The sequence below is a fragment of the Homo sapiens genome, chromosome 15, assembly GCF_000001405.40.
Source record: "Homo sapiens chromosome 15, GRCh38.p14 Primary Assembly".
Lineage (NCBI taxonomy): Eukaryota > Metazoa > Chordata > Mammalia > Primates > Hominidae > Homo > Homo sapiens.
The window spans coordinates 50,969,608-50,983,195 of record NC_000015.10 but is presented as its reverse complement, the minus strand read 5'-3'; the positions used below and the strand labels follow the sequence as shown (position 1 = coordinate 50,983,195).

Genomic DNA, 13,588 nt, shown 5'->3' with positions numbered 1-13,588 from the left:
AAGAAAGGTGAAACTTGGGTTTTTTAATAATCATGAAGCCATCATCAACCCTACATTGCCTACTTCTGGATTCCTTTAATAGGAGAAAGCAATAACCGTCTATCTTGTATGAGGTCCCACTTTGTTTCTTTATTTTTTAATTGGCTAATTCAGCAAGCCTAATCTTAACTGACAAATTTTGAACAGTCTAGATTATAGAAAAGGACCTTTTTAAATCATAAAAAGTATCTTAGAAAATATTATGTCAACTTCTGTAATTACTATTCTCATTTTACAAATGAGGAAACTGTGGTAAAGAGTTTGTCCCAAATTACAAAAATTAGAAAATGACAAAGCCAGACATGAACTCAGATATTCTAGCACCAGAGCTGTACTCTCAACTATTATAGTATATGGCCTCCTCCAAAGGAAATATCACCTATTCCAAAGAATGCTAAATAAATGCTTGCTAGTTACCTAAATAAATGATACAGAAGAAGAATCAATGTAAAAAAATAATAATGATGGGCTAATGATCAGGAGAACTGTGTTCTGGACATAGCTTTGCTGTTAACTAGGTATGTGAACTAGATCTTCATTTCTTCATCTGTAAAGTGAAGAATTCAAACTACGTCAACAGTTTCCAAATGCTGATCTGATAACAAGGATCAAGCTTACTTCACTGAATCTCCCAAGGACCTTTTTATACATACAGCCAAGCTTACAGAGATTCAGATATAGAAGGAATAGGAGTAGGGCTCAAAATAAGTCTCATTTTTAAAAAACTCTTTGTGATTCTGATTCATAACCATGTTTGGAAACCACTTATCTAAATCTTTTGAAGGTCCTTTCCAACTAGAATATCCCCTCATTTTAAGTTTTTTAATCATCTAACTTAATCATAGTCCGTTTTATGTTGCTATAAGACAATGCAACATAACAGGTGATTTATAATGAACAGAAATTTACTTGGCTTATAGTTCCAGAAACTGAGAAGTCCAAGAGCATGGCACTGGCATCTGGTGAGGGCCTTCATGCTGCATCATCCCATGGTGAAAGGAAAGCAGAAGGGAAGATAGTGCAAGAGCAAGAGAGGGCTGAACTTGCTTTTTTTTTTTTTTTTTTTTTTTGAGATGGGAGTTTTGCTCTTATTGCCCAAGCTGGTGTGCAATGGCATGATCTCAGCTCCCCACAACCTCCGCCTCCCGTGTTCAAGCGATTCTCCTGCCTCAGTCTCCTGAGTAGCTGGGATTACAGGCATGTGCCAGCATGCCCGGCTAATTTCGTATTTTTAGTAGAGACGTGGTTTCTCCATGTTGGTCAGGCTGGTCTCGAACCCTCAACCTCAGGTGATCCACCTGCTTCAGGCTCCCAAAGTGCTGGGATTACAGGTGTAAGCCACTGCATCTGGCCCGAACTTGCTTTTTTAATGACCCACTCCCATGATAATGATATAAATTCATTTGTGAGGGCAGAGCCCTCGTGACCTAATCACCTCTTATTAGGTCTCACCTCCCAACACTGTTTCACTGGGGATTGTTTCCAACACATGAACTTTGGAGTACACATTCACACCATAGCATTCTGCTCCTGCCCCAACAAAATCATGTCCTTATGATGCAAAATATATTCATTCCATTACAAGTCTCAAAAGCCTTAACTCATTCCAGCATTAACTCCAAAATCCAGAGACATCTAAATCAGATATGGGTGAGACTAAAAGCAAATTTCTCTCCAGCTGTGGGGCTGTGAAATTAACAAGTTATGTGCTTCCAAAATACAATAGTGGAGCAGGCATAAAGTAGATATTCCCATTCCAAAAGGGAGGAATAGGCCAGAAGAAAGGGGTAAGTGGTCTCAAATAAGTCCAAAGCCCAACAGAGAAATCAACATTAAGTCTTAATGCTCCAGAATTATCTATCTTGACTCCACGTCCCACCTTTTGGGAACACTGGGGCAGGAGTTGGACACTCAAGGCCTTAGGCAGCCCCACATCTATGACAAAGTCCTATGGCTTTGGGGCTCAGTCCACCCAGCAGCTCTCAGGGGATTGGAGTCTCATGCCTGCAACTTTCCCAGGCTGATGCTGCAAGCTAGTAGCATCAGTTCTGGGGTCTCAGGAGTGACCCCACTCCCAAGGCTCCACTAGGCACTGCCCTGGTGGGGACTCTCTGTGATGCCTCTGATCCTGTATTTCTGCTCAGCATTGCCCTAGTAGGGGCTTTCTGTGATGGCTCCACACCCGTGAAAAGTCTCTGCCTAAGCCCCAGGGAGTCCACGACATCTTCTGAAATCTAGGTGGAGGACGCCATGACCCCATGGCTCTTGCACACTGTGCACCTACAGAATTAGCACCACATATGCCACCAAGGTTTATGGCTTGAATCTTCTGGAGTAGCAGGTCAAGCCACACCTGGGCCCAATGAATGGCTGGAGCAACCACAGAATGCTGTACCAGAACACAGGGAGCAGAGACTTGAGGCAGCTCTGGGCAGCAAGCCCATGAAGGGTACGCTGGTCATCCCCTGAAAACATTCTGCACTCCCAGAGCTCGAGCCTGTGAAGAGAAGGGCAGCCTCTGAGATCTCTGAAATGCCTTTAGTGTCACTCTCCCAATGTCTTGATGATCATTTCTATCTGTAATAACCGCCTTAGCAGACAGTCACTTGACCAGATCCTTGGCCTGGTCTCCCAAATACATTTTCTCATTCTTCACATGGCCAGGCTGAAAATTTTCCGTCTGTCATGCTTCTGTTTAATTATAAATTCCATCTTTAAGTCATTTATTTCCTCTCATATCTTACTGCATGCACTTAAAAGTAGCCATACAGCTCCTTCAATATTTTGCACAGAAATTTCTTCCACCAGATATTCTAGTTCATCGCTCTTAAATTCTGTCTTCCATAAAGCCCTCAGGCATGAAGAGACATAAATCATCCAAGATTTTTGCCACTTTATAAGAAAGATGGCCTTACTCCAGTTTCCAACAAGATATATTCCTCTTTCCTGTCTGGGATCTCATACATTTAATGAACTTAGAGATTAAGTACACTTAAGTAACTTAGAGATAAAGAGACAGTGAAGCCCATATTTCTAACAACTTTCTGATCATGAACACTTAATAATCTCTAACTTTCAGATTTTCCCTATAGCTCTCCTCTCTTCTTCTCAGCCCTCATCAGAACTGCCCTTAATATTATGTTTACGGCAATCTAAGATTTTCCTAGCCTGCTTCTTTAAATTCTTCTGCTCTACTCATTACCCAGTTTCAAAGCCATTTCCACATTTTCAGATATTTTTAATAGCAACAGCTTCACTTCTCAGGACCAATTTTCTATCATAGTCCATTTTATGTTGCTATAACAGAATACCACAGAACAGGTAATTTATAATGAACAGAAATTTATGGCCGGGTGGTAATTCCAGCACTTTGGGAGGTCAAGGTGGGCAGATCATTTGAGGTCAGGAGTTCAAGACCAGCCTGGCCACTGTGGTGAAACCCTGCCTCTACTAAAAATACAAAAATTAGCCAGACATGGTGGTGGACGCCTGTAATCCCAGCTACTCGGGAGGCTGAGACAGGAGAATTGCTTGAACCTGGGATGTGGAGGTTGCAGTGAGTCGAGATCATGCCACTGCACTCTAGCCTGGGTGACAGAGTGAAACTCCGCCTCAAAAAAAAGAAAAGAAAAAGAAATTTATTTGGCTCATTGTTCTCAAGGCTGAGCTATCTAAGAGCATGGCATCAGCATTTGGCAAGGGCCTTCATGCTACATCATGAAGAAGACAGAAGGGCAAGAGAGTATGAGAGCAAGAGAGGGCCAAACTCACTCTTGTAACAACCCACTCTCATGATAATGACATTAATCAATTCATGAAGGCAGATTCCTCATGGCCTGATCAGCTTTTTACAGTCCAATCTCTGAATACCATCACAATGACAATTAAATTTAAATACGGGTTTTGACAAACATATTCAAACCATTGCACTTACCATCCAACAGTGGTATCTTTTTAATAGCATCTGTGACAGTGAGTCATCCAGCCACTGCATTAACACTTCCAGTAACAGTGAATACCTCAAGAAATGTTTTCTATGCACATTAAAGATAAAGAGTTTAAACCAAAAAGCAGAAAGAAGCTCAAAATTAGAGGTACAAAGTTTGAAAGTAGAGAGAATAAAACAGACATGGAAAGGAACAGTATTTGGACAGCAAGCAGAAAAAAGTATCAATTCCAAGTCAAAAGAATTAAGATTATCATCTAAGGAAGGGGTGGAAAGGCTCAAGGTTGAGAATAAAGTTCAAACCACATTATTTTCACTCTTCAGTGAAAACTCCCCAAGACCCATATAGTGATGAACGCCTAAAAGGACTAAAGATGCTGGAGAGTTAACTACATGTGCAAGAGCTCATGCACATATGTGGAACAGAAGGAGAAAAATGGTATGCAGAAAGAACCAAGAGAAGGAAGAAGACGGCTGACTTGCAACTCAGTGAATATGCAGAATTTAGCCAGATGAAGAATGAGGGCAATTCACCAGAAGAGAAAACATAAGCTGGAGGCAGAGAGTCCTTCGAGTTGGGAGCCGCTGAAGTATTCTAGGTGAGACATAATAAAGTATAAACTATCCTGGGCATAAGTGAATAATTCAACATTCAACCTATTTGTATCCCTTATTATTAATACTTTAGAGGCCTCAATTATATGCACACTCATTTATCATACTTTGTACTGCAATTATTTATACCTTGACGACTTGGCTATATTTCTCTAACCATTCTCAGCTATTATTAATAATTTTTACAATTATTTAAATAATTAACTTTAATTATCTGATTATTGTTATTTTATTTTTTGAGAGACTAGCAACCTTACCTTGACATGGCTTTCTAAAAGCCAGATTTAGTAAATACTGTTTCCCCTTATTATTTCTGGTTATCTAGTGTTGGAGTTATAACACATTTTATTAATATTTTAATAGAATAATCCACAGATTCTGAAATGCTTTTTTTGATGGGAACTTGTAAGAAAGTTTGTTCCCCACCATCTCACCTATTTTTGCTAATTCTTAGTATCCCATGATATTTTCCTGAAGTTTATTCATTTTTCTACCTAAAAGATCAAAGTATCACTTATTAAAGTAACATTTAACTACTACTCTCTGCAAATGATTACAGAAATCTGAAATCAGATTAGTACCAGAACAGGCTGGCATGGTGGCTTGTGCCTGTAATCCCAGAATTTTTGGAGGCAGAAGAGGGAGGATCACTTGAGGTCAGGAATTTGAGACCAGCCTGGGCAACAGGTGAAACGTCATCGCTACTAAAAATACAAAAATTAGCTGGATGTGGTGGCATGCACCAGTTGTCCTAGCTACTTAGGAAGTTGAGGCACAAGAATCGCTTGAACCCGAGAAGTGGAGGTTGCAGTGAGCCAAAAGATTGCAACACTGCACTCCAGCCTGGACAACAGAGAGAGACTCTGTCTAAAAAAAAAAAAAAAAAAAACCATAACAGATTGATAATTAAAAGATTCAAGAATTAATTCTTTATGCATAAAATACCTATTTCCCCCTACTCTTTATTTTGTCTTATAGCCAACCCCATTTCTAAGATATATAATTTTATAATTTATTCCACAAGTATTTATTAAATACTTGCTATATCTTGTCTCATAACCAATTTCCTTTTCTATAACAGTCTCCTGAAATTTCAGTTTTGCTTTAAAGGACTTTTGAAGCACACAGATTTGGGAGGAGAGAGGGAGAATCTAGTTTGAGCGTTTAATCCCATTTATAATGTGGTTCTATGGGAAAAAATGTACTTGGCAAAGGACTGCATAAGCTTGGGGAATTCCAGGGCTCTTGTATTTGTGTCAGCTATTTAGCTTATTTTAAGAAACAAAATAGGCAGTGCCAGGAAATAGTCTCCCTATTATATCTCCCCTTCCCTATCCAACCCTTGACTTCAGTAATGGCAACTGGTGGCCCCCAGATACCTGAAAATAAGGAAGTATGACAACGGAATCATACCTCCCACTGTGGAAACCCAGGAGCTTTTCACTCTAGGCCCTGGATGTCATAAGGCATTTATATGCAGTATAACCACAGGTTAGGCAATTATAATTCAAAAGTTTACTTTTTCCCCCAATATATTCTATTAATATATAAAAAGTTAATGAGAGGAAACTGATTACACTTTGAAAGAGAGTTTAAATTTTATAGTACATTAGTTATCACTGTGCTAAATAACATATAAAAAGCCTTAAAAGAAAGGGATTGCACAGAATACATGTACTTTCCAATCCATGAACACAGGATGTATTTCCATTTATTTGTGCCTTGTTTGATTTCTTTCATTAACGTTCAGTGGTTTTCATTAAACACAACTTTCTCACTTGCTTCAGTTTATTATTAGGTATTTTGTTCCTTTTGGTGCTATCATAAATTGGGCTGTCTTCCTAATAACCTTGTCACATGGTTTGTTGTTAGTGTACAAAAATGCAAATAATTTTTGCATGTTGACTTTGCATCCTACAACTTTCCAGAATTCGCTTATTACTTCTAACGGTTTTTTAATGGAGTCTAATTTAGGGTTTTCTATAAATAAAACCATATTATCTGCAAAGAGGAACAATTTTCCTTTCCAATCTGAATACCTCTCTTCTTTTTCTTAACTGCTCTGGCTAATACTTCCAGTACTGTGTTGACTACAAAAGAGACAAGTGGGCATCCTTGCTTTGCTCCTGATCTCAGAGGAAAAGCTTTTGGTTTTTCATCATACCATGCTATGATGTTAGCTCTGGGTTTATCATATATGGTCTTTATTATATTGAGATATTGCCTTCTATTCTTAGTTTTATTGAGTTTCTTTTTAATCATGAAAGGGTATTCAATTTTGTCAAACACTTTTTCTGCTTTTATTGAGAACTGTGTGGTTTTTATCCTTTATTCTGTTAACATGATATCACATTAATTTATTTTCAGATGTTGAACCATCCTTGGATCCCTAGGATAAATCCCACTTGATCATGGTGTATGATCCTTTTATTGAGTTCAGTTTCCTAGTATTTTGCCTATATTCATCAGGGATATTGGCCTGTAGTTTTCTTTTTTTTGTGGTGGCTCTGTCTGGCTTTGCTATCAGGGTAAGGCTGGTCTCATAAAATAAGTTTAGAAATGTTCTCTCCTCTTTAAATTTTTGGAAGAGGTTGAAAAGAACTCTCTCTCTCTTTCTCTCTCTCTCTCTCTCTCTCTCTGTCCCTTTTGTAGAGATGGGGTCAAGCTATATTGTCTAGGCTGGTATCAAACTCCTGGCTTCAAGTGATCCTCCCACCATGGCCTCCCAAATTGCTAGGACTACAGGCATGAGCCACTGTGCCCAGCCCCAATATTAATTCATTAAGTGTTTGGTAGAATTCACCAATGAAGAACCACAAAAGACCATGAATACCCAAATTAATCTTGAGAAAAAAGAGCAAAGCTGAAGGCATCACACTTACTGATTTCAAAATATATTACAAATCTACAATAATCAAAACAGCATAGTACTGGCATAAAGACAGACATAGAGACAGAACAGAGAGCCCAGAAATAAATCCAAGCATGTATAGTCAACTAATATTGAACAAGGACACCAAGAATACACAACAGAGAAAGGACAGTCTTCTCAACAAACAACATTGGGAAAACCAAATATTCACATGCAAAAGAATAAAATGGAAGCTTTATCTTATACCATACATAAAAATCAACTCAAAATGAACTAAGGACTTAACTGTAAGACCCAAAACTGTAAAACTCATAGAAAGAGATGAAGTTTTGCTCTTGTTGCTCAGGCTGGAGTGCAATGGTACAATCTCAGCTCACTGCAACCTCCACCTCCCGGGTTCAAGTGATTCTCCTGCCTCAGCCTCTCAAGTAGCTGGCATTACAAGCATGCACCACCACGCCTGGCTAATTTTGTATTTTCAGTAGAGATGAGGTATCTCCATGTTGGTCTGGCTGGTCTCGAACTCCCGACCTCAGGTGGTCCACCCACCTCAGCCTCCTAAAGTACTGGGATTACAGGTGTGAGCCACCGCGCCCAGCTGGTAAAAGCTGCTTTATGACATTGGTCTTTACAATAATTTCATGGATATGACACCAAAAATACAGGTAATAATAACAAAAATAAACAAGTGGCAATACATCAAATTAAAAAGCTTCTGCATAGCAAAGAAAACACTCAACAGAGTGAAAAGGCAACCTATGGAATAGGAGAAAATATTTGCAAACCACATTTCTGGTAAGGGTTAACCTCCAAAATATGTTAATCCTATGACTCAATAGTTTTTTTTTTTTAACTAATAACCTGATCACAAATAGGCCAATAACTTAAATAAACATTTCTCTAAAGAAGACATACACATGGCCAACAGGTATATGAAAAAATGCTCAAGGTTACTATTAGCAAGAAAATACAAACTGAAACCATAATAAGGCATCACCTTGTACCAGTCAGGATGGTGATTATCAAAGAAAAGAAAACATAACGTGTCAGGAAGGATGTGAAGAAGTCAGAACCCTTACCCATTGTTGATGGGAATGCAAAATGGTGCAACCACTGTGGAAAGCAGTATGGAGGTTCCTCAAAAAAATAAAAATACAGGCAGTACACAGTGGCTCATGCCTATAATCCCAGTGCTTTGCAACGTCAAGGTAGGAGGATCACTTGAGCTCAAGAGTTTGAGACCAGTCTGGGCAACATTAGGGAGACTCTGTCTCTACAAAAAATTAAAAATGAACCAGGCATGATGGCATGCACCTGGAATCCTAGATACTCAGGAAGCTGAGGCAGTAGGATCACTTGAGCCCAGGAGTTCAAGGCTACAGTGAACTATGATCGTTCTACTGCACTCCAGCCTAGGTGACAGAATGAGACACTGTCTCAAAAAAAAAAAAAAAAAATGGCCGGGCACAGTGGCTCATACCTGTAATCCCAGCACTTTGGGAAGCCAAGACAGGTGGATCACTTGAAGTCAGGAGTTTGAGACCAGCCTGGCCAACATGGCAAAACCCTGTCTCTACTAAAAATACAACAATTAGCCAGGTGTGGTGACTCATGCTTGTAGTCCCAGCTACCCAGGAGGCTGAGGCAGGAGAATCACTTGAACCCAGGAGGCAGAGGTTGCAGTGAGCTGAGATCGTACCACTGCACTCCAGCCTAGGCGACAGAGCAAGATTCTGTCTCTAAATAAATAAAAATACAACTACTATATGCTCCAACAATCTCACTTCCGGGTGGGTATTTATCCCAAATAATTGAAATCAGGATCCAAAAGAGATATTAGCATTCCCATGTTCACTGCAGCACTATTCATAATAACCAAGACGTGAAAACAACTTAAATGTTCATCAGTAGGTGAATGGATAAAGATGATGTCATATACATATACAATGGAATACTATTAAACTTTGAAAACGAAGAAAATTCTGCAATATACGACAACATAGATGAAACTTAAGAATATTATGCTAAGTGAAATAAGTAAGGCACAAAAAAATATTGCATGGGTCCACTTTTATGAGGTACCTAAAAGGTCAAATTCATAGGATTGAGGAATGGACTGGTTGCTGCCAGAGGCTAAGGGGAGAGAGAAATGGGGACTTACCAATCAATGGGCATGAAGTTTTAGTTAAACAAGATGAATAAGTGCTAGAGATCTGCTGTACAACATTGTATCTACAGTCAATCATAACGTATTATACACTTAAAAATTTGTTAAGAGGAGAGACCTCCAGTTAAGGTTCTTAACCACAATAAAATAAAATAATAAAAAGATTTAAAAAGATAAAAGGCAAAAAAGAGCAAATGCTTCTGGAAAAAGAGAACATCAGGCCTATTAATAATGTTCATAACTTTTTGGTCTCATTCTAGGATCAACAGTTTAGTTGTTGTCTTAACTCAATATGCCTAGCACACAGCCTGGAAAATAAGTACTCAACAAAATCATTAAAGGACAAATAGGAAAAAAAAGAAAAACCTTTCAGCACTGAATTTTTCAGTATTGACATTCTGAACTCATAAACAGATAATATATTTATTCACTGATCTCCCTTTATTCATATGCATACTTCCCTTCTACCATCCAAATAACTCAATGATTTCCCCTTTACCAAAATCATGACAGACGTATTTTCCCAACAGGCTGCATTTCTTAAGTACAAAGTTACTCTTTCCTTTATTAGCTGTTTCTAACTTAAATCATCAGATATTTTGTTGAACGAAGAATTCTAATACACTTGAGAAATATTAGACTGCTCAGAGCCATGTGGCTGTGTCCTGTGTGAGAGAAACATCCCCATAGGGCTACCCTCAGAAGACATGCCCCCCATCCCCAAGGCCAGCCAAACAGCCTTGCACCCACATCATGAGCCTAAGAAACAGCCCCATAGGCTACTCTTGGCAGACATGTCCTCAGGCTGGCTAGGCAACTACATGCCCATGCTTCCCAGCCAGAGTAACAGCTCCATGGCCCCAACCTCAGTAAGCCAGAACCCAAGTTGGCTGACTCACTGTGTACATGCACATATCCAAAACTTGAAAACAGGCTGGGAAACCCACCCTTGGTGAAGCCACACCACCATCACCACAAACTCAGCCTGGGCCACTGAGAAACTCACAAATACCACTAGTGTAGATTACAGCTAAAGAAACTACATGGCCAGGTACTGTGGCTCACACTTGTAATCCCAGCACTTTGGGAGGCTGAGGTGGGTGGATCACCTGAGGTCAGGAGTTTGAGACCAGCCTGACCAACATGGTGAAACCCCGTCTCTACTAAAAATACAAAAATTAGCCAGGCGTGGTGGTGTGTGCCTGTAGTCCCAGCTACTTGGGAGGCTGAGATGGGAGAATTGCTTGAACCTGGGAGACAGAGGTTGCAGTGAGCCAAGATCATGCCACCGCACTCCAGCCTGGATGACAGAGCGAGACTCCTTCTCAAAAGAAAAAAGAAAGAAAGAAAGAAAGAAACTACATGAAGACTATACTACACGTCCACCACCAAGGCCTTAGTACCCTACTGAACATTTATACAAATAAGACCCATTTATACAAATAAGTCTTTCCCTTTAAACTGCACTACATAAAATTGAAAGAGCCAACTTTTCCACCAGATTCATACAAATCAACATAGGAACAAATCAACCATGAAAAAAGAAACATGTCACTACCAAAGGAAAATAATAAATTTCTAGTAACAGACCCCTAATCATAAGGAAATGTATGAAATTCCAGAAAAGGAATTCAAAATAACAATATTAAGGAAACTCAGTGAGATACAAGAGAATACAGACAGACAATTCAATGAAATCAGGAAAATGATACATTATTTGAACAAGAAATTCAACAAAGAAACAGATATCATAAAAAAGAACCAAACAGAAATCCTAGAGCTGAAGAATTCAATAAATGAAATAAAATATACACATAAGAGCTTCAACAACACATTAGAAAGCAGAAGAAATAATTTCTAAAGTTGAAGACAGGTCTTTTGAAATAACACAGGAAGACAAAAAAAAAGAAAAAATAATTTTTAAAAAAATGAAGAAAGCCTACAGGATTTGTGGGACACCATTAAGCAAATAAATGTTTGTATTATGGGCATTTCAGAAGGAGAAGAGAAGGGAAGATATGAAGAAAATAATTAATGAAATAATAGCAGGAAACTTTCCAAGTCTTGGAAGACAGAACATCCTAGTCCAGGAAGCTCAAAGAACCCCAAACAGATTCAACCCCAAGCAGGTCCTTTTTGTGGCACATTTTAGTCAAACTGTCAAAAGTCAAAGACAAAGAATTTTGAAAGCAGCAAGAGAAAAGCATCAAGTCACATATAAGGGAATCCCCATTAGGCTAACAGCTGGATTTCTCAGCAGAAACCTTAGAGGCCAGGAGAAAATGGGATGATATATTCAAAGTACTAAAAGAAAAAAGAAAAAGAAAAAACAGCATGAATATCATATCCAGCAAAGCTATCCTTCAGAAATAAAGGGGAAATAAGATCTTTCACAGACAACCAAAATCAAGAACTTCATCACCAGTAGACCACCCTTACATGAAATGCTCCAGGGAGTCTGGAAGTGAAAAGACAATAACTACCATTATGAAAACATTCAAAACTATAAAACTCACTGGTAGTGCTGAAACACAAATGAGAAAAAGAAAGGAATCAAACCTTATCACTGAAGAAAAGCACCCAACTACAAAAATAAACAATAAGAGAGGAAGTAAGGAACAAAGCATATGTAAAATACCCAGAAAACAATCAATAAAATGATAGCAGCAAATCCTCGCCCATCAATAATAACCTTGAATGTAAATGGATCAAATTCCCCCACTTAAAAGATACAGAATCACTGCCTGGATTTTCAAAAAACAAGACTCAACAATACACTGCCTACAAGAAACTCACCTCACCTCTAAAGACACACAGACTGAAAGTGGGGGGTTGGAAAAAGACGTTCCAGACAAATAGAAACCAAAAGTAAGCAGAAGTCACTATACTAATAACAAACAAAACAGATTTTAAGTTAAAAGCTGTAAAAGGAGACAAAGAAAGACACTGTACAATAAAGGGATCAATTCATAAAAAGAATATAACAATTATAAATATATATGTACCCAACACCAGAGCATCCAAATATATAAAGCAAATATTAGACCCAAAGGGAGAAAGAACCTGATTCAGTAATAGTTGGGGGCTTCAAAAAACTGCACTTTCAGTATTGAACGAATTATCTAGCACTTCAATGTTTACTGCAGAGCACTATTCAAAGTAGCCAAGATATGGAATCAATCTAATATGGAATCAGCCTAGGTGTCCAACAACAGATGAATGGATAAAGAAAATGATGTGGTATTATATACAAAGTGAAATACTATTCAGCCATAAAAACAAATGAAATCCTGTCATTCATGGCAACATGGATGAAACCAAAGGACATTATATTAAGTGAAATAAGTCAGGAACAGAAAGTTAAACACCACATGTTCTCTCTCATATGTGGAAGCTAAAGAAAACTGATCTCATAGAAGTAAAAATTAGAATAGAGGATACTAGGCGCTAGGAAAGGTAGGGGTAAGGGAAGAATAGGGTAAAGGATAAAAAATTACAGCTAGATAGAAGAAATAAGTTCTAGACCACTATAGAATTACTATGGTTTAATAATAAAGTATCACATAGTCTCAAAAACTAGAAGAAAGATATTGAATGTGGCCGGGCATGGTGGCTCACGCCGGTAGTCCCAGCACTTTGGGAGGCCAAGGCGGGCAGATCACGAGGTCAGGAGATCGAGACCATCCTGGCTAACATGGTGAAACCCTGTCTCTACTAAAAATACAAAAAAATTAGCTGGGCGTGGTGGCCGGCGCTTGTAGTCCCAGCTACTCGGGAGGCTGAGGCAGGAGAATGGCATGAACCCAGGAGGCAGAGCTTGCAGTGAGCCGAGATCACGCCACTGCACTCAAGCCTGGGTGACAGAGCCAGACTCTGTCTAAAAAAAAAAAAAAAAAGAAAGATATTGAATGTTCCCAACACAAAGAAATGATACATGTTTGAGATGATG

The 13,588-nt window shown here is 38.8% G+C and overlaps 1 protein-coding gene across 8 annotated transcripts in view; it reads right to left on the bottom strand.

Annotated features, from left to right (window-relative positions):
- The window catches only part of AP4E1 (adaptor related protein complex 4 subunit epsilon 1), a 98,404-nt gene that overhangs the window by 22,700 nt on the left and 62,116 nt on the right, over positions 1-13,588 (bottom strand). The window lies entirely within an intron of this gene.